The sequence below is a fragment of the Homo sapiens genome, chromosome 10, assembly GCF_000001405.40.
Source record: "Homo sapiens chromosome 10, GRCh38.p14 Primary Assembly".
NCBI classification, from domain to species: Eukaryota; Metazoa; Chordata; class Mammalia; order Primates; family Hominidae; genus Homo; species Homo sapiens.
In genome coordinates, this window is record NC_000010.11 from 7,570,719 (window position 1) to 7,592,212 (window position 21,494).

At 46.7% G+C, this 21,494-nt stretch overlaps 1 protein-coding gene across 5 annotated transcripts in view; it reads right to left on the reverse strand.

Moving 5' to 3' along the window:
• ITIH5 (inter-alpha-trypsin inhibitor heavy chain 5) overlaps nucleotides 1–21,494 on the reverse strand; it is a 107,697-nt gene that overhangs the window by 11,449 nt on the left and 74,754 nt on the right. For 3 of the 5 annotated variants that reach the window (NM_030569.7, XM_011519713.4, NM_032817.6), the window contains 4 exons: nucleotides 15,183–15,351; nucleotides 9,037–9,346; nucleotides 5,735–6,294; nucleotides 2,424–2,477 (listed from right to left, as the gene is read on the reverse strand). In NM_030569.7, the coding sequence (NP_085046.5) occupies nucleotides 2,424–2,477; nucleotides 5,735–6,294; nucleotides 9,037–9,346; nucleotides 15,183–15,351 (1,093 nt within the window). Of the gene's footprint in view, nucleotides 1–686; nucleotides 1,681–2,423; nucleotides 2,478–5,734; nucleotides 6,295–9,036; nucleotides 9,347–15,182; nucleotides 15,352–21,494 lie in introns of those variants that run through there. The other 2 variants (NM_001001851.3, XM_011519714.4) reach the window with 1 other exon arrangement.

Genomic DNA, 21,494 nt, shown 5'->3' on the forward strand with positions numbered 1-21,494 from the left:
CTCAAACGGTCCTCCCACCTCAGCCTCCTGAGTAGCTGGGACTACAGGCACGTGCCACCATGCCAGGCTAATTTTTTATTTTTTGTAGGGACAGGGTCTCACTATGTTGCCCAGGCTGGTCTCAAACTCCTGGGCTCAAGCATTCCACCCACCTCAGCCTCCCAAAGTGCTGGGATTTCAGGCGTGAGCCACCACACCGGCCTACAACTTGTTTCTCAAATGCCCCTCTGCCTTCTGTGCACATGGACATGTCTGCATGCACGCTGTGCACGGTGTAGGCAGGGGCCAGGCAGAGTCCACTCTTTTTAAGCTGCAGCAAACTAACATCCCTGCATTGACTGCTGAGAAACCCTTTCTGCCCCAGCATCCCTGACACGGGCCCTTGAGAGGATCTGGCTGCTCTCCCTGGGAAGTGCCTCAACTTCCCTGAAAATTGCAACATATGAAGAAATTCAAGGTGCTGGTCTTTTGCTGATGGGGAAAAACTGACCCCCAGAGGAGATCAAAGTTCTCATCCACATTGCTGGCATTTTTCAGGCATGCACGCAGTTGTCTCTTGGTGTCCATGGGGGATTAGTTCCAGGACCCCCGCGGATACTAAAATCCACGCGTCCTCAAGTCCATGACATACAATAGTGTAGTATCTGTATACAACCTTCGCACAGCCTTCCATACACTTTATTTTTAATTTATTCTTATTTATTTATTTTGTTTTTGAGACGGAGGTTCACTCTGTCACCCAGGCTGGAGTGCAATGGTGCAATCTCGGTTCACTGCAATCTCTGCCTCCTGGGTTCAAGCGATTCTCCTGCCTCAGCCTCCCGAATAGCTGGGATTACAGGCGTGCACCACCATGCCCAGCTAATTATTGTATTTTTAGTAGAGATGGGGTTTCACCACGTTGGCCAGGCTGGTCTCGAACTCCTGACCTCAGGTGATCCACCTGCCTCGGCCTCTCAAAGTGCTGGGATTACAGACATTAGCCACTGCACGCAGCCTTTCTATACACTTTAAATCATCTCTAGTTTACTTATAATAATGAATGCAAAGGAGATGCGATGTAAATAGTTGTTACACTACATTGTTTAAGGAACAAAGACAAGAAAAAAAGTCCGTACACATTCAATACAGATGCAATTCCTTTTTCACGTATTTTTGATCTGTTGTTGGTTCGATCCTTGGGATGCGGGACCCATGGAGATAGAGGACAACTGTCTAGCTCATCTGACAGTTTTCTGAGAGTTTCTATGTGCACATACCACACCATTTCTACTCAAATTGTCCAAATTTCTTTACAAGGAAAGATAGTGCTTGCTCCAAAAAAGAGGGGAGGGTCAAAAAGTCATTACTCCAGGCAGCATCCAAGAGGAAGCTTTTCTGGCATTCCATAAAGCCTGTGTGTGTGTGTTGGAAGGAATTACATTCTGTCTCCCGCAGGCTGTGCGGACTCTATATCCACAGCTCATCTCCGGGATGTCCCTGGCTTTAGGAACTTGCACGTACAGCACAGCAGCAGAAAGGCAACAATCAAGACTTCCAGAGGATGATCTGGACACAGCAGAACAAAACCCAGTCATAGGTTGTTCTTTCCTCTGAATTTTTATTATAGTTCCAGGATGCTGGCAAAAGGAAATTTCATGACATTTGAAAAAATCTGTTCTTCCCTTCTGAAGCCACGAACTGAAAAAAATGAAAACAAAAACAAAGCCTGCCTGTCACACCAGACATTTTTATTTTGGTAGCACCATTTTATGTTTATGATAGCAGAGGCTGGAAGGATGCATGCTCCGGATCTCTAAAACAAATGTCTTCTAAACTCAATGAGGGTCAGAATGTGCCTCTGCCACCCATCTATTGGGTGGTGCAATATAGCTCACTGCAGCCTCATCGGGTTTCCTGCCAGGCTTCCTGGGGACTGTGCTATCTCCATGGTGTTTATGGGATGGTTTCATAACAGCTGCACTTCTCAGGCTCTGCCTCACACTGTGGGCTTGATACATTGCTGAATGAGCTGGTATTTTTAACTGGCTTCAAGGAATTCTTGGTTTTACACTTTTTTTTTTTTTTTTTTTTTTTGAGACAGAGTTTCACTCTTGTAGTCCAGGCTAGAGTGTGGTGGCACAATCTCGGCTCACTGTAACCTCAACTTCCCAGGTTCAAGTGATTCTCCTGCCTCAGCCTCCCCAGTAGCTGGAACTACAGGCCCCTGCCACCATGCCTGGCTAATTTTTGTATTTTTAGTAGAGACGAGGTTTCACCATGTTGGCCAGGCTGGTCTTGAACTCCTGACCTCAAGCAATACACCCACCTCGGCCTCCCAAAGTGCTGGGATTACAGGCGTGAGCCAGTACACCTGGCCTGGTTTTACACTTTTTAAACATCTCTTACTCTCAATCCACACACAACCGCATCCTTTGCTTTACCTGATGTTTTAGAGATTTTAATTCTTGGCTGGTATGGCTTCTTGAGCAAAGGTCCTAAAAGGGAGAAGGAAGAGAACATCATGGTCATTCCTTAAAGAAGATGAAGAGAGAGGTGCAAAGGGAGAGAGGAGACATGAGCAAAACACAGCTTTTAGGTACGTTTGTAACAGCTTAAATAATCAAAAGACCTTTAAAACATCATCAGTCTTAAAAAGGGAGCTTGGCCTCAAAACACACAAGCAGAGCCAGGCATGGTGGCTCATGTCCATAATCCCAGTGCTTCCGGAGGCCAAGGTGGGAGGATCACTGGAGCCCAGGAGTTCGAGACCGGCCTGGGCAATATAGTGAGACCCTGTCTCTACAAAAAAAAAATAAATAAATAAAATTAACCCAACAAGGTGGCACACATCTGTAGTCCCAGCTACTTGGGAGGCTGAGGTGGGAGGATCACTTGAGCCCAGGAGATCAAGGCTGCAGTGAGCTGTGACTGCACCACTGCACTCCAGCCTGGTTAACAGAGTGAGACTGTCTCAAAAAAAAAAAAAAAAAGGAAAAAAAAGAATAGAATAGAAACTACACAAGTGGAATGTAAAGTGTGTAGGATTAATTATTTAATTATTGTATGATTTAGATACTATTCTTTTCTGTGATTTTTGTGTATATTATAGGGGAAAATATTTTATCACACTTGAGATGTATTTATAGGGGAAGGGAGAAATGAGCTGTTGTTCAGTGGGCCTGTAGCATTTCAGACGTGCAAGATGGAAAAGTTCTAGAGATCTGTTTCACAACAGTGTGAATATACCTAACATCGCTTACCAGCATTGAACTGTACGCTTAAAAATGGGTAAGGTGGTAAATTTTATGTTCACAACAAAAACAAAAACAAACAATAATGTAATAAAAGAGGTACAGTTATAATCCAGTGTCTGTAGCTATGTGTGCGGCGGAATTTACAAAGCAGAAGATTTTGAAACACTTTGTATTTCAAAGTACTGGTGCTTTGAATAAATATTCAATGAAAGAATAACCTAAAAGTAATTAATATCTATAAATAAAATCAATATCTTACGTCAAATTGTTAGTACTAGGTAAAATTGTGCTCCTCTTCTCTGGTTTTTATTGCTCACAGAAATTAAAGAGTGAGATATCTAAAGGTTCTTGAAGTACTCCCTTCTCAATACTGGTCTTGACCAGCGTGATCTGGGCAGAATGTAGATTAGCCAGGAAAGAGGATGGATGACTGGATGACTGATTTGAGGAGTGGCAGCTGCCACCAACTCTCAAAAAAATTAAAATTTAAATTTAAAAACCATCAGAGCTTTAAGGAAAGGAAGAATCTTCATTTAAAAAACAAAAAACAAAAAACCGGCCGGGCGCAGTGGCTCATGCCTGTAATCCCAGCATTTTGGGAGGCCCAGGTGGGCGGATCACAAGGTCAGGAGATTGAGACCATCCTGGCTAACACGGTGAAACCCCATCTCTACTAAAAATACAAAAAATTAGCCGGGCGCGGTGGTGGGCACCCGTAGTCCCAGCTACTTGGGAGGCTGAGGCAGGAGAATAGCGTGAACCTGGGAGGCAGAGCTTGCAGTGAGCCGAGATAGCACCACTGCACTCCAGCTTGGGCGAAAGAGCGAGACTCCATCTCGGAAAAAAAAAAAAAAAAAAAGCAAAAAAAAACCCTTTCGAGTAGTCAGTTGGTTATCTCCTCCTCTGTCTTTCTGGCCCCCCGAGTCTTGTATGGTCCAGATCCGATCTCTCCTGAAGCTGTGGAGATTTGCGCTGATGACCTAGCATCAAGATCTTATTCAGAAAGCCACTTTTCCTGGATGTGGCATGGATCTCATAGGTAGAAAGTGATAGCATCCTGCCACATGCTTTTAATCACAACAAAAATTGTGTACGTTTTGCCAAGACAAGCTCCACGCTTTCTGAAATAGCCATGTCAATTGCAACCTCGCTATCAGGGTCCGAACTTTTCAATACATTTCTGGTATTCCGTGCCTCCACGGAAGGCGTGTCTGACATTTGTGCAAAACTCACTGTGTGCCCACGGCATTCCATATTTAGTTCTTACAACAGCCCTGCAGGGAAATTATGATTATCTCCGTGTTCAGGGCTGGGGAGTGGGAATGGAAGCTCAGAGAGGTTGAGAAACCTGCCTCAGGCCTCACAGCTGGTCAGGAGGGTTGGTGAATCCTAACTGCATGCTTTCTCCACACCCAGGTCCTTCTAAGACTTTAGAGTGTGAGGAATAAATGGGACAGCATTGGTGGGGTGCAGAGTAGGGTCCGACCAAACTCAGTTTCCTCTCCTAGGAGAGAGAACTTGACAGGAGCCCAGTAAAAATGTGATGCATGTGAAACGCGATTTTCCACACGCAGATCTGCCAGGAATACAATGCCCTGCTTTGGTTTCACTGTGTTTCCTTTCTCTTGTTCTCGTCTCTACTCATCCCCGCAGCAGAATGGCACCGGGACTGACTGTGCCTGCTTCTGTTCAGATTCTCAGAGACTGACATGGAAAGACCGGATTCTTGCAAGAATCCGTACCTTGGTCCTTCCCACATGCTCTCGGGGAAATAAAATCAAGCACACAATTAAATTATACTACATAACTCTGAAGTGCTTGAAAATATAGAAAGGCACTGAAAAATGGGCACTGGTATGTTCATTTCAGTGCTTCCGCCCATGCCTGAAACCTGGCAAGCACTCAGTTTATTGATGCTTTATTGATGGACTGACTTCACTAGGTGACATTTCTGAACCAAATGCCACCTTTTTCTCATTTCTCTAGACAGCCACAGTGTATAGTAATGCACATACAACAGTCTACAATACTCCCTGAAGATTATGAGCTGTATATAGTGTTATTGCTTTTTGGTTGGTTGTTTTTTTAGAGACGGGGTCTTGCTCTGTCACCCAGGTTGGAGAGCAATGGTACGATCATGGCTCACTGCAGCCTCAAACTCCTGGGCTCCAGTGATCCTCCTTCCTCAGCCTCCTGAGTAGCTGAGACTACAGGCATTCCACCATACATAGATAATTAATTTTTTTTTCTTTTGTAGAGACAGGGTCTCTCTGTGTTGCCCAAGCTGGTATTGAACTCATGGCCTCAAGGGATCCCACCTCAGCCTCCCAAAGTGCTGGGATTACAGGTGTGAGCTACTATACCCGGTCTGGGTTATTGTTTATAAGTATTATAGCAAGATGGAATAACACAGCTTCCTGCTGGGGCTTCCTGTGGAGGAGGTGAGTGGTATCTCAGGCCCGCGTCCCCCACACCTGGCTGGCACAGGTGCCTCGTACCTGGCTGCGTGCCAGCTCCTCGCACGCTCTGCACCACCGGTTCGGGTCCCATGGCAGCCGACATGCCGTGGGCCTCCTCCAGGCCATCCATGCGTGGGACCGGCCCCCTCAGCTTCATGGAGGTGAAGGGAGTGAGGAAGCGGTAGCTCACAGCCAGGGCCTGGGCCCGCTGCCGCAGCCGCTCCTTCTCCGGTTCATCGTCACTTTGCAGCCAGGAGCTCAGCAGCTCCTTTGTGGTGAGGTAGCTCCAGAGACGCTCGATGTGGTTGGTGTCCCCCTCTCCATCGCCTCCAGGCCTGGGGCTTCCTGTGACATCTTTCCCTGCCTTCTGAGGCCGCACAGGCACATCTGTCTTCAGGATGATGAATTTCTTACTGTTGCTGGCGGTGACCTCCACGTGCAGGTGATCCAGCTTCCTGTCCACCAGCTTCCCCGCAATGATGATCTCCGAGCCGTTGAAGTAGTTGGGGAACAGGGTCTTGGTGGCCTGCACCACTGAGCTGGGGGGATAATCGATGCGGATGTCAGAGAGGAGCGGGGTCCTGATTTCATCGTAGAACCTGCAGTGGAAGCACAGGGAGGGAGGGAGATCAGGGCCCTGCTCTGACAGCAGGCAGGACAGTCCTAAAGGAAACTGCAGACTCTCAGGGGGATGCATCTGATTTTAGAAGCAATTGAGTCCAACATGGCACCCCACACAATATTTCTGCCAGGAGATCACTAGGCAGCAGGTTGAACACCATTGGTGAGAGGGAATGCATTCTCTCACGCGGCTTCTGAGCTGTTTTTCAACCACTCTCATGATGAGAAAAAACCTGCTTATAGTAGATTAAAATCTTCCTCCCTGAAATTTCCACCCACTGGTTTCAGTTTTGCCTCTGGAACAATATCGAATTAGTGTAATCCATTTCAACAGACATTTGGATGCTTAAAAAACAATGCTGTGCATTCCTTTAAGCCCAGTCAATCCCCAGTTTCATGAACTATTCTTCCTGTGATACAATTTCAAGATTCCCTCACCAGTCTTGGTAAATTTCCTTTGTGTACACTTACGTTTCTTAAAGGGACTCTTAAAAACCTTTTTCTTAGAACCAAATACAAATTCCAGATGTGCTTTAAGCAGCGCATTCTACTTCAGAAACCTGACTTTCGTGAGTTTGTGCGTATAACATTTGCTTGCATTTGCTTTCCTTGTAGTTAAGTTGCATGGTCGCTTCTTGCTAAGTAAGGAGACAATTAAAATTCCCTTTCAAAAGGCCTAGAAACCATAGGCTGTGGAGTTAGACTTCCATCTCTGTTGCTTCCTTGCTGTGTGTCTTGGGACATGTGACTTAACCTCTCTGAACTTGAGTTTCCTTATCTAGAAAATCAGGATGTAAACAGTACTTCTTTGGTCACCTACTAGCTGTCCCTGAAAGTCCATTTTCCCCTTCTTTCATGAGAATTGAGCTCCGGCCATCCAGCTACAAACTACATTTCCCAGCCTCCATCGAGGCCACAAATGGCTATGTGACTATGTCCTCCCAATGGAATATGGGTAGCAGTGAGATGTGCAACTTCTCAATATTTGCTTACAATCCATGCTGGCTTTCTTTTCTCTCTCCCTTTTTGCGGCTAGAAAACAAGAGTGATAGTGACTGAATTTCAATCCTGTAGCATTAAGGACAACACCTGAGGGAAGCAGAGCAATAAAACAGAAGGAGCTTGGGTCCCTGAATGACTTCTGGGAGCAGGATCTAGCCTGTTACCATTACAGGAGAGGGAAGGAAATGGCTATCTTATTTCAGCCTTTGCCTTTCATCATCTCTGTATTGCAGCTTAGCCTTTACCCTAATACACCTACCTCCTAGGATTTCTGTGAGGATCATCTGGGATGATGCACATCGAAGTTCCTGGTGTATCATAAGTTCTCATAAATGCCAGGTATCGATCATAGTTTCAGTGGGATGGCAGTGCAGCTGACTTGTTACAGCATAACTGCTTTTGCTTCTGAATGCCTTATTGAATTTCAATTCTGTTATCCAGTGTATCAGATTCTCCCCTTTGACTCTAGTTTTGAATAATTTTTAAAATGTGGAAAGCAAATCTGTGTTTTCATTTAAATCTTTCATTAAAATGCGTGGGAGGAAACGGTGGCGAATCCCAAACCGAGGACCTGTCTTTACTGCACACCTTAGGTGTCTCCATTTCCATTTATCATTAATAAATGTGCTTTGACTATGGCTATTAAACACCTATAAATCTACCCAAACCTCCCCTTTGCTTTTAAGTAGATACCACATATGCCACGATGCAGATTAAAGCACCTCACGCTGAACTGGGAGCTGGCACTTCACTCAATGAACAGCAAAGGAGCAGACTGATGCGTGGCAACATAATATCGGAGGGAAGCTATTTCTGTTTTAAAAGATCTGAGTTTTCTCCATCTCTCATTTAAAAGATCTCATTTATTCTCCACCTCAAAATAATCTGATTATTTAACAGTTTTATCTGATGGTTTTGCTTCCAAATAAAAGTATCTTTTAACTAGTACTCAAAATGAACATAACAGTACTCTGCTACTTGCTCACAGGGTAGAATAAAAGTAAACTTACTAGAAAGTGCTTTGAAATATCAGGATGTCAATGAACTATGAGAGCTCATTAAATACTTAATATGGGATGGCCACTGTGCCAGTGCTATACATAGTGTTTTTATATAGCGATTTTCTCATTAAATTCTGCAACCAACCATAATCCTCATTTTACAGATGAGAAAACGGAGGTACAGACTGTCTTAAAATCTTGCTTAGGGCCGGGTGTGGTGGCTCACGCCCATAATCCCAGTACTTTGGGAGGCCAAGGCGGGCAGATCACCTGAGGTCAGGAGTTCGAGACCAGCCTGACCAACATGGAGAAACCTTGTCTCTACTAAAAATACAAAATTAGCCAGGCGTGGTGGTGTGTGACTGTAGTCCCAGCTACTCAGGAGGCTGAGGCAAGAGAATTGCTTGAACCCAGGAAGCAGAGGTTGCAGTGAGCTGAGATCACGCCATTGCATTGCAGCCTGGGCAACAAGAGCGAAACTCCATCACAAGAAAAAAAAAAAAAATCTTGCCTAAAGTCATAAAGGAGGATCAGAATTCGAACTCTGATCTGCCTAGTTTCAAAACACATGGTGACACCTCCCATTGCAATGAGCTATGATCGTTGTCAGCAGATGCAAGGCTGGGGTGCAGCAACACACTCCTCTCTGAATTCCCACCGCAGCCACCCCTCAGCCCCTCAAACAGCCTCTCATGCCTACGAAGACAGACCACAGACCCGATGAGCTGCGAGCCTGCGTCCTCCTCCTCGTGCACGCGCCGTGTGAGGCCACAGTTCTCCAGCGACAGTTTCTCCAGCAGCCTGAAGTCCACGTCGTTGCCGATGCCAATGGTGAAGATGCAGACTTGGCCTCGGGCGGCCTCTCGGGTGTTGTTGAGGATCTTGAGGGTGTGCGTCTCCCCGACCGTGGGCTTCCCATCCGTCAGGAAGACGATGAGGGACACGCTCCGGTCTCCAATGCCACTGTGGGCCACGTACTTGTTGAGGAGCCTGATGGCCCTCTGCAGGGCCCCGTTGATGTCTGTGCCTGCAGGACACCAACACGGAACAGCTCAAGCCTCTGCACTCACCTCCGCACTCTGATTGCACTTTCTTTTTTTTGAGACGGAGTCTTGCTCTGTCACCCAGGCTGGAGTGCAATGGCGCAATCTGCACTCACTGCAACCTCCGCCTCCCAGGTTCAAGCGATTCTCCCGCCTCAGCCTCCCGAGTAGCTGGGATTACAGGTGCACACCACCACATCTGGCTAATTTTTGTATTTTTAGTAGAGATGGGATTGACCATGTTGGCCAGGCTGGTCTCAAACTCCTGACCTCAAGTAATCCGCCCACCTTGGCCTCCCAAAGTGCTGGAATCACAGGCATGAGCCACCATGCCCAGCCTGAATGCACTTTCATAGCTGCAGTTCACGCTCAACCACCCAAATGCTCACAGGAGTGAGGTGTTAAGGGGCCATCCAGAAACTTGCTAAAAGCAAGTGCATTTACTAAATGCATATAAGTGAATGGGGATTATCCCACTGTAACAAACCTTCTCCAGAAGGCATGTGGCGACGCCTTAGCTTACCTGAGCTTCAATGGCTTCTGTGCCCTCTTCTGAGAATGGCTTTGAAAAGAGCAGGAAGGTGTTGAGCATAGAAGACAGCAGGAATGTGGAGGGAGAAAGAGCCGCAGAGGGGAGGAGGGGCATGGAACGAAGAGGAGGAGGGTAGCTGCTGACATCTCAGATGCCTTCCAGTGTTGTCTAGGGCTAGGTGGAGCTGATGAAAGAATGAATTTGTTGCCTTCATCGTCTCTCCTTTCTTTGCTTCCTGTCCCTTCAGATCACCTCTGCTTGCCAGAACCCCACAGAGAAAGGAGCCATGAAATATTTCTCCTCCTGGCCACCCTTTTTCCTTCAGAGGCCCTTGTCAGCAACAGCTCTGATTAAAGTTGGAGGCCAGCCAGGCACGGTGGCTCATGCCTGTAATCCCAGCACTCTGGGAGGCCAAGGTGGGTGGATCACCTGAGGTCAGGAGTTCGAGACCAGCCTCGCTAACATGGCAAAACCCTGTCTCTACCAAAAATACAAAAATTAGCCGGGCATGGTGGTACATGCCTGTAATCCCAGCTACTCGGATGGCTAAGGTCAGAAAATCACTTGAACCCAGAAGACGGAAGTTGCAGTGAGCCAAGATCGTGCCATTGCACTCCAGCCTGGGAAACAGAGTGAGACGCGGTCTCAACAGAAAAAATAAAAATAAAATAAATAAATGAATAAATAAAATAAAGTTGGGGGCGAAAGGGAAGAAAAATTTTATCAGGAATATGTGGCTTAGAAAAACCATACGAAACAGAAAACAAATCTCAACTCTGAGAAATGATGGAACAATAAACACCAATGACATTAGCAGGCATCTGTGGACAGCAGGAGGTTTTTCTCTCCTTTTTTTCTTTTGATGATTTTCTTTATTCCTCAAATGTTTTAGAATAGATACTTCCATGGAAAAAATGGTGTGAGAACATGAGCAGGCTTCTGGAGTTCTAAATGTTCTGTTTCTTGATCTGGGTCCAGGTTCTGTTCAGTTTATGAAAACATATCAAGTTGTACACTTACTACATGTACATTTTTCTGCATGTATGTTACACTACAGGTTACTGCTTCCTTTAAAAAGAATGTTCCCATGTTTTCTTTTCTTTTCCTTCTTTTTTTTTTTTTTTTTTTTTTTAGAGACAGGGTCTCACTATGTTGCCCAGGCTGGTCTCGAACTCCTGGGCTCAAGCAGTTCTCCCACCTCAACCTCCCAAAGTGCTGGGACTACAGGCATGAGCCACCATGCCCGGCCACCCATGTATTTTTTTTTTTTTTTTTTTTTTTGAGATATAGTCATGCTCTTTCGCCCAAGGTGGAATGCAGTGGCGTGATCTTGGCTCACTGCAACCTCTGCCTCCTGTGTTCAAGCAATTCTCCTGCCTCAGCCTCCCGAGTAGCTGGGATTACAGGCACACGCCACCATGCCTGGCTAATTTTTGTACTTTTTTAGTAGAGACGGGTTTCACCATGTTGGCCAGGCTGGTCTTGATTTCCTGACCTTGTGATCTGCCCGCCTCGGCCTCCAAAGTGCTGGGATTACTGGCAGGGGCCACAGCACCTGGCCCCATGTATTCTTAAATTTACTACTTTATGATTAAAATAAATCAGACAATTTAAGTTTGGGAGCAAAATAAATAAATAAAGTTGGGGCCTGTGTCTTTGATAGGAGCTGAACAAGTATTTGTTTGGTGGATGGGGAGACAGGTGGTTGGGTGGTTGAGGTTGAAACCCCAGCTACAGTGAGGTTTCTGGGTTAGCTAAGAATTCCACTGGACTAAGCTACCAACATCCCACCATTACCAAGTAAAGCAGAGACCTTACTGTAGTGTGAACACCTATTTCCTTTGTTTTTTTTTTAAAATGGCTTAAGATAAAATCTACATACCAAAAGATCACCCATTCTAAGTGTCCAATTCATGATTTGTAGTAAATTTAGAGTTTGATGACCATCACCACCATCCATCATCCTGACTGGAGTGACTTTTCTCTACCTGCAAATTTTACCACATTTGTGGTACATATATACCATGGGGCACTATTCAGCCACAAAAAAGAATGAGATCTTGTCATCTGCAACAAGATGGATGGAACTGGAGCTCATTATATTCAGTGAATTAAGCCAGGCACAGAAAGACCATCTTCCCATGTTCTCGCTTATTTGTGGCAGCTAAAAATTAAAACGATTGAACTTATGGAGATAAAGAGTAGAAGGATGGTTTCCAGAGGCTGGGCAGGGTAGTGGGGGGTGGGGCAGAAGTAGGGATAGTTAATGGGTACAAAAAGAAGTTAGAAAGAATGAAGACGATCTAGTACTTGGTAGTGCAACAGGGTGATTATATTCAATAATAATTTCATGATACACTTAAAAATAACTGAGTATAATTGGATTGTTTGTAACAAAGGACAAATGCTTGAGGTGATGGATATCTCATTTATCTGATGTAATTATCACACAATGTATGCCTGTATCAAAATACCTCATATACCCCATAAACACATATACCTACTCTGGACCCACAAAAATTAAAAATTAAAATTAAAATGTACCGCATCTGAGAGAACCAGATCATCTCCCCCACGGCTTAACATCCTCCAGATTTTCTAGCTAAAAAAGTAGATAAGGCTATGTCCATGACCAAATGTTCATAATTCTTGCTAAGATGCAGAGCCCAAATGGAAAGAAAGTTATTTTACATTTTATTGGAATCACTAATTTGCCTTTCTTTTGTTTGTTTGTTTTTGAAACAGAATTTCACTCTGTCACCGGGGCTGGAGTGCAGTGGTGCGATCTCGGCTCACTACAACCTCCGCCTCCCAGGTTCATGCAATTCTCCTGCCTCAGCCTCCCCAGTAGCTGGGACTACAGGCGCAAGCTACCACGCCCAGCTGATTTTTTTGTATTTTAGTAGAGATGGGGTTTCACCATGTTGCCCAGGCTGGTCTCGAGCTCCCGAGCTCAGGCAATCCACCCGCCTTGGCCTCCCAAAGTGCCAGGGTTATAGGTATGAGCCACTGCGCCTGGCCTAATTTGCCTTTCTTAAGGTCCAGTCTAATTTCTTAGTGCCCCTGGATGTGTGAACAAGGATGAACTGGCATTTTTTTCTCTTGTCTCTATTCAGCAATGGTGCCAAATCTCTCACTCCACTTTAAAGCCAAGGAGAGCACAGGCAGAGGGACGGATTAGCTTTCCCGATGGCACACAGCCACCAGAGGCCCTGCAGGGATTGGTATCAAGCCCACAGCAACTGGGGCATCTCCTTCCCACTGAAAACAGACAGGAGCTGTCATCAAAGGACTCACAAGCACCAGCGAGAGGGGTTACCTGAGTGGGTGAAAATAATGGCCACATCTGATGCTTAAAGAGGACTTCCTATGTGCCAGGACCATTCTAACCACTTGAAATGCTTTAACTCACTCCATCCTGGTAACGATTCCATTGTTATCTTCATTCTACAGATGAGGAAACTGAGGCACAGAGAAGATGGAGCTGGATTCAAACCCAGGCAGTCTGGCTTCCAAATCCATGCTCACAATCCTGATGCTACACGTCTTAGAGAGAAGCAGGCTGATCTGCTGTTCACCTGCAGAGGCTAGGGCAATGCAGTTCAAGAAAAATAAAGGAAACCCACAGGGTTTCTAAGGCTTGGAGTCCAAAAGAGCATAACATACACCAGCCATTTTCTTTCTTTCTTTTTTTTTTCTTTTTTTTTTTTTGAGACAGAGTCTCGCTGTCACCCAGGCTGGAGTGCACTGGCATGATCTTGGCTCACTGCAACCTCTGCCTCCCAGGTTCAAGCAATTCTCCTGCCTCAGCCTCCCAAGTAGCTGGGATTACAGGCACCCGCCACCACACCCGGCTAACTTTTTGTATTTTTAGTAGAGATGGGGTTTCGCCATGTTGGCCAGGCTGGTCTTGAACTCCTGACCTCAGGTGATCCACCTGCCTCGGCCTCCCAAAGTGCTGGGATTACAAGTGTGAGCCACCCCACCCGGCCCAGCCATTTTCTAAAGCTGTTTATTACTCCATGGCCCCCACTCCACCAGCACACACACATCATTCTGCTAGTAAGCAGGGCCATTAAAATAAATCCAATCTACAAATATCCATTGAGCATGCCCTCTGTGTTAGGAACTGTGCATGGAGGTAGGAGCTATGTAAACATGAAGAGAAATCTGTTCCTTCAAGAATTTTATGGTGTTGTGGACTTCCTGCCGTAGAGCATCACTATCATATTAAATCTAATCTTCTATTTCTCCCATCAAACACCAAAACAGTTCCTAGATTATACTGTTTGGGAGGCTAGTAGGAAATCCCAGTGTAAATGGAAAGTACCAGCCCAGCAAGATCAAGTTCCACATTAAGTTCATTTGGGAAATGAGGGCTTTGTCTTGGACTGGGAAACCATGAATATAAGAAAGATGGAAAATCCCAGATGGGAGAAGACTGAACAGAGTGTTTTGTATGTTTCCAGATAACTGAAGTGGAATTAACCAGGAGGTGGTGTCTCTGTACAGAGCCTGAAAGGAAGGGGGAGGGAGTAGGTCAAGTTCTGCTAAATGCTCCAATACTGAGCACCTCTTCTGTGTCCACTGTACTGTTGATACAGGGAATGGCAAGAGTAAGGCGCAGGTCCTGAGTTGGGAGAACTTAACATCTAGGACAGCTGGTAACACACTGCTCTGATTCTCCACTCTTCTCAGAATTTTTATGATCTTTTCTCTCCTCTCTTAACATTCTGCACCCTTACCTGGGCAACACCCAAGACAAGCGTGCAGTGGCTGAGAGCCCACATCCTCCCCATCACATTTTACCTCCGCAACCCTCCCGGGCCACCAGGATACCTGTTTCACTCTGCTGCAGCTCTACCAAGAGGGCTCCTTGTTTTGCAAAGCAGTTCCACCTGCCCCTGCCCAAGGTGCGCACGAAACACTGGCTGGTCCACGTGGCTGTAATTCTCCACCCCAAAACCGTTTACAAAAACAGTATTGTTTTTGTATCAGCAAGACTTTTTCTAACAGGATCCATGAGATGAACCAGGCAAGCCTCCAAACACCTATCAGGTTATTTTCCCCCAGAACTTCACCAGCTTCACTTGTAGACTGGGAAAGGAGAGTACGGATTTGGTATTCCGAGCAACCTAAGCTGCTGAGAAAGCTCTCGCCTGCAGTCTCCCTTCCTGCCATCAACCCCAGCTTTCAAATCCTTATCTCTTGGCAAAAAAAAAAAAAAACCAAAAAAAAAAACATTATTTCAAAGCCAAGCCAATGTGAAAAGAAGGTGTCATCTTTACCTCCAGTGGGTGACATATGGTGAATGTACACTTTCCCATCCCTGATGCTGTCTGGAGTGACTGATATCAAGTGGTCCTTCCATACTTTGATCCGGTTGGAAAATCCAATGATACTGAAACGGTCCTGGGGTCGGAGGTCATGGAGAATTGTGAAGAGGGCATCCTTGGTCTAGGCAAACACAAAAGCAAAACCAGTCACAGCTGCTCACATAAGTCCACTTGTCCCCTGTTCTAGAAACCGCCCCCGCCCCCCAGGAAAAATGTCAGGGTTCAAATTCAGTGTCAGCTATGTAAAGGGCACTTGGCTGAATGTCAAGGAATTGGTTACCCAGCTGGAAAAAATGGTATAAAGATGTTACGGTTGTAGACACGAGTGAATCAGTGCTGAATGCCGCATCCCGCCACGGTACTTCGGGCCTCCGCATCTCCACAATTGCTGTTCTCTTGACCCCAGATGTTCTTCCCCACCACCCTACCTCCATCTTTCACTTGACAAGCCCCTCATCATTCTTAAGAGCCAGGCAAGTGTGCAAATTCTCTGTTGGAAATTTTTCTGACTTCTCTGAAGAGAGCTGATCATTCCCTCCCTTAGGCTGGCAAAGCCCTCAATGCATTCCTATTATAAAGCACACATCACACGATGATGATTGTTTTATCTCCTTCCCTTACTCGGTTGTGAGTTCTTTGCAGGAGGGTCTCCTTCATCTTCCTAACAGCTAGTGACAAGAAGGAGGTGCTAGACAAAGGTGAGGCAGGTGAATCAATGAATGAATGAACGTTTAATGAATTATAAAATTAAATGCCCAAATAATAAATACCATAGGAATTGAAAAGATTATTACTATGGGCTGGAGTGACATGAGGCCTTACAGAGAAAGAGGAATTTGAGGATGAGATTTAAAGAATACATTGAAAGAACTGGAAGGGCATTCTTCTTATTTTTTTTTTCATACAAACTCTCGCTCTGTCACCCAGGCTGGAATGCAGTGGCGCGATCTCAGCTCACTGCAACCTCTGCCTCCCAGGTTCAAGCGATTCTCCTGCCTCAGCTTCCTGAGTAGCTGGGATTACAGGTGCACGCCACCACGTCTGGCTAATTTTTGTACTTTAGTAGAGACAGGGTTTCACCATGTTGCCCAGGGTGGTCTCGAACTCCTGAGCTCAGGCAATCCATCTGCCTCAGCCTCCCAAAGTGCTAGGATTACAGGCGTGAGCCACTGCACCCGGCTTGGAAGGGCATTCTGAAGAGAAGGAAGGCAGTTTGAGCAAAGCCAGGAAGTAATACAGGTGAGATCAGGGATGCTCAGTGATAACAGGTATACACTAAAATCAGCTGTGACGAATGGAAAGAAGAAAGAAGCCATATGACCTGAAACCAGAAATACTCTAGGGGCCTAGAAAAGGTTTCTATAGTAATCCATAGACACTGTGAGCAAACTCTGTCTTCCCAAGCAGCACTGTTGTTAGACACTTACAGGCTCAGCATAGGAGGTCAGGGACTTTCATTATATAATGACCATGAAAGGACATCCGGCACCTTTACGAAGTTGAAGAGCACAGGCTTCAGAGCCAGCTGTCACCCTTGAGGCTGGGTTCATCCCCGACTCTCCGTGGGGCCCTGGGGCCCTGAGCAGTAAGCTCCCTCACTTACTCGCTCTCTGATATCACTGCGCCCAAGTTACCCCATCCATAAAATCAGGACAGTAATAGTACCTGCCTCATCAGGTTGTCATGAGGATTAAATCAGAATCGAGATGAAAAGGGCTCTGAGCAGGGCCAGCCACACAATCAGAGTTCTAGATGGGTTTGCTGTTACTTGCTGGCTGGTGGAAAGCCCCGGCAGAGCTTAAGAGAAACGGTGAAGTCGGGAGTGGTGGTTTCCAGAAGGACATGTGCTAAGTGGCTCTGGGACACCCTTGAAACACGCTGTAGGTCTCTTCCCCGGTTCATGACTCTTTGCCTTTCCTCCTTCCCCAGGTTCAGACAGATGGCCCCGTCGGCCCCTCTGGCTAGGTGAAATAACCACTGCTTTCGTATCCTTTCCCTCTGGAATTTTCTCTCTTCCTCACTCCTCAGCCGCCTTTCAATCCTGAATCCAACTGCTCATCCCACATTCCACTGTCCAACTTGAATTTGTAGGAACCTCAAATTCTACTTCAGAAAACTATTCTCAATGCATCTATTTTTAAATCTGCACATTAGGCCAGGTGCGGTGGCTCATGCCTCTAATCCCAACACTTTGGGAGGCTGAGGCAGGCGGATCACTTAAGGTCAGAAGTTAGAGACCAGCCTGGCCAACATGGCAAAACCTCATCTCCACTAATAATACAAAAATTAGCCAGGCATGGTGGTGCACACGTGTAATCTCAGCACTTTGGGAGGCCGAGGTGGGTAGATCACTTGAGGTGAGGAGTTTGAAACCAGCCTGGCCAACATGGTGAAACCTTGTCTCTACTAATAATACAAAAAATTAGCTGGGCGTGGTGGCCCACCTGTAATCCCAGCTACTCAGGAGGCTGAGGCGGGAGAATCACTTGAACCTGGGAGGCGGAGATTGCAGTGAGCCCAGATCGTGCCACTGCACTCTGCCTGGGTGACAGAGTGAAAATGTGTCTCAAAAAATAAATAAAACACATCTGCACATTATATTCTTTTCTGTAGGGCTAGTAAACTAAGAGTTTCTTGGCTGAGCAAACGTTCGCCTAACTTTCTCCCCGTGAGTTTTTGCTAAAGTAATGTTCCTCCACTTTCCCAGCACTTCTTCATTCCCAGGCTGAGAAAGCAATGGAGTTGATGGTATCATTAGAAGGATGATGATGACGACGCTGACGATATTAACAGCTTGCATTTCCCGGGAGCTTCCTACTCCCTAGGCATATGCGGAGTGTACAGGCTCTTCCTCTGTTGAGGTGATTAATTCTAAATCTTACGAGCCACCTGAGGGAAAGTAACTATTAGTATTCCCATTTTACAGATGGGGCAACTGAGGCATGGAGTGGCTAAGCATCATGCTCCATGGGAGACTGGATTAAAATGCAGGGAGTCTGACTTCAGGGACAGCACGTGCACCAACGGCAGCAGAATCTGCAGCCCCAGGACGGCTGGAGCCGAGATGGCTCAGAGCTGTCACCCTTTTAACGTGCAGCAAATCTGGGGATCTCTTCCAAGTCCCTGTATGTTGATGGGCTCTGTTTACTTCTTTGTTTCTTTTGCTTCATTTCTGGCATCAACTAATGTATCCATCTCCTGTAACATCCTTGCAGAAGGCACTCAGGTGCCGGGCGCAGTGGCTCACACCTGTAATCCCAGCACTTTGGGAGGCTGAGGCGGGCAAATCATTTGAGGTCAGGAGTTCAAGACCAGCCTGGCCCATGTGGTAAAACCATGTCTCTACTAAAAAAATACAAAAATTAGCTGGGCATGGTGGCACGCGCCTGTAATCCAGCTACTTGGGAGGCTGAGGCAGGACAGTCACTTGAACCCGGGCAGTGGAAGTTGCAGTGAGCTGGGATCATGCCACTGCACTCCAGCCTGGGCGACAGAGCGAGACTCTATCTCAAAAAAAAATGAAGGCACTGCAGGATTTTTGCACCTGCCCAGGGACAAGAACAATGAACATATTTCATTAAACCCACCTTCTCATCCTACTGAAGAATGCAACAAGTTCTTCGGGGAGAAAAGAACAGCAATGGAGTGCTCCTTTCCATTCCCAGGGCTCGGAGACCTCCACTATTCTCTGTTCTCTCCTCTGCTATTCCCTCCTCCTATCCCCCGACACTCTGCTTGTTCAGAGGGGCTGACTGCAGCGGTTTCCCGTCCTCTCCCATGCCTGGCTCCCACCCCCAGGAAATACGTCAAAGTATCCCATGCAAATAAACAGAATCCACACCCAAGGTGTGCCAGCACTCTGCAGAAGACATTGTCAAGTCTATGCTGTTCCCTCCTTGAAACTCCTCCTGCTCTAGCTTCCCCGGCTCCTCCCTGGAGGGGATTGGTGCTCCCCTGGGCTTTGCTGTTGTCCCCCACCCCCCGCCCGCTGGCCCTTCAGGGTGAGTCACAGGGTCCTTTTCTCAGCTGAGGTTCTCACCTCCAGGTGACATCATCCATCCCCATGGTGCCAACTACCATCGTCATCTGTGAACTTCCAGACTTATCTCTGGAGCTGGCCTCTCGTTCCATCCAGACCGACCTGCCAACCTTTTCTCCCTGCGTGTCCCACAGGTAGCTCAGACTCGACTCGGTGGAGAATGGAACCTTCATCTTTTTAAATCTCCCTCTCCTCGCTGCTCTCTGTCCCGGGACAGAGGACACTGCAACCTTCACCCGTGGTCCAAGGCGGAAGCCTGGATGTCAGGCCCTCACATCCTTCAACACCACCCTGGAATTCCAACTCCTCTCCCTAAATATCCCTGTGACCATAAACTGATATTCCTTTACTTCCTTTGTATTTTTTCTTAATACAAAAATATTACTCATTTTTTGAAAGATCAGAAGAAAAACATATACAACTCACATCATCACGCCTACCTAGAGACAACCACTACTAAAATGCTGGTGTGCCACACACCACTTCAGAAACATCCCCGGCTGTGTGCGTGTGCACGTGTGATTTTAAAGGAAGTGGGATCATATAATACATACATCGTGCTGTAAAGTTTCTCTTTACTGTAACGTATCATATACGGTTTTCATGTCAATGGAGAAATGTTTGCCACGTCATTTCAATAGCAACCCAGCATCCTCCTGCACGCATCCACCATGTCTTAATATTTTGCAATATCTGAGCAGCGCTGCTGGGAAGCTCATTATCCCCACGTCTTTGTGCCCAAGACTCTTCCCTTAGGATAAATTCCCATACGTGGAAGCGGAGCGACAAAGGGCTTGCACTTTAGGAAGGAGCCAGCATGGCTCTGCATTACTGCCACGTGGATTTTCAACCCTCCTCTCTTCAAAGCCTTCCATGGCCCCTCGCTGCCCTCAGCATAAAGTCTAATGTCTCTTATTTTATTTTATTTGAGACAGAGTCTTGCTCTGTCACCAGGCTGGAGTGCAGCGGCGCGGTATCCACTCACTGCAACCTCCGCCTCCCGGGTTCAAGCGATTCCCCTGCCTCAGCCTCCCGCGTAGCTGGGCTTACAGGCACACGCCATCACGCTCAGCTAATTTTTTCTATTTTAGTAGAGACGGGGTTTCACCATGTTGGCCAGGATGGTCTCAATCTCCTGACCTCATAATCTGCCTGCCTCAGCCTCCCAAAGTGCTGGGATTACAGGCGTGAGCCACTGTGCCTGGCCTAATGTCTCTTTTTGGATACAAAATCCTCATTAAAATAAATGGTCCTGGTTCAAATCCCTGTCTTTTATTTCCTGCTAGTCTACCCCAGCTATCAACAACAAGGTCTGATTTGCCCACACCCAGCTTCCCTAAACCCACCCTGCTTTCTCGTGACTTCCTGTGGTGGCACCAGGGGCTGCCCTCCTTCCCCGCCTTCCTGACACGTTGAGCTGTAGCCACCCTTCAAAACTCACTTGATATGTCCCCTCCTTGGTGAGGCCATTCCTAACTCAACAGTGAAGACAGATGACAGCTCCATCCCCGATGCTGCACTGGCTGACACGTACCCCAGCTACACAATGTCCACGCTGTGCCGCCATGACTTCTGCAAGCTCTTTCCCTCCCCAAGACCCTTGCACCTGCTGTTTTTTCCTTGGAGCTCCCTTCCTCTTCCTCTCAGTCTTTGCTGCTGCAGGTCTCTTCTTGTCCTGCAATCCTGGGTTTACACATGAACTTCCAAGAGAGCCCTTCCCTGCCTCCCAGCCCTGCCCACCATTCCCCAAAGCATGGGCCCCTGCTCTCTCCTTTCACGTTGATATACAGAACATCCTTCTCTCTCTGTGCATTGACTGGTCTGTCCATCTCCAGTCTATGCTTCTGTGTGCAGGAGCTTTTTCTGTTTTATTTATTTATGTATTTTATTTATTTATTTTTTGAGATGGAGTCTTGCTTTATCGCCAGGCTGGAGTGCAGTGGTGCTATCTTGGCTCACTGCAACCTCCGCCTCCTGGGTTCAAGCAATTCTCCCGCCTCAGCCTCCTGAGTAGCTGGGGCTACAGGTGCACGTCACCATGCCCAGCTGATTTTAGTATTTTTAGTAGAGACAGGGTCTCACTATGTTGGCCAGGATGGTATCGATCTCTCGACCTGGTGATCTGCCCACCTTAGCCTCCCAAAGTGTTGGGATTACAGGCGTGAGCCACCATGCCCAGACACTTTTTCTGGTTTATTATTGTATATTTATTATTCTATATTTAA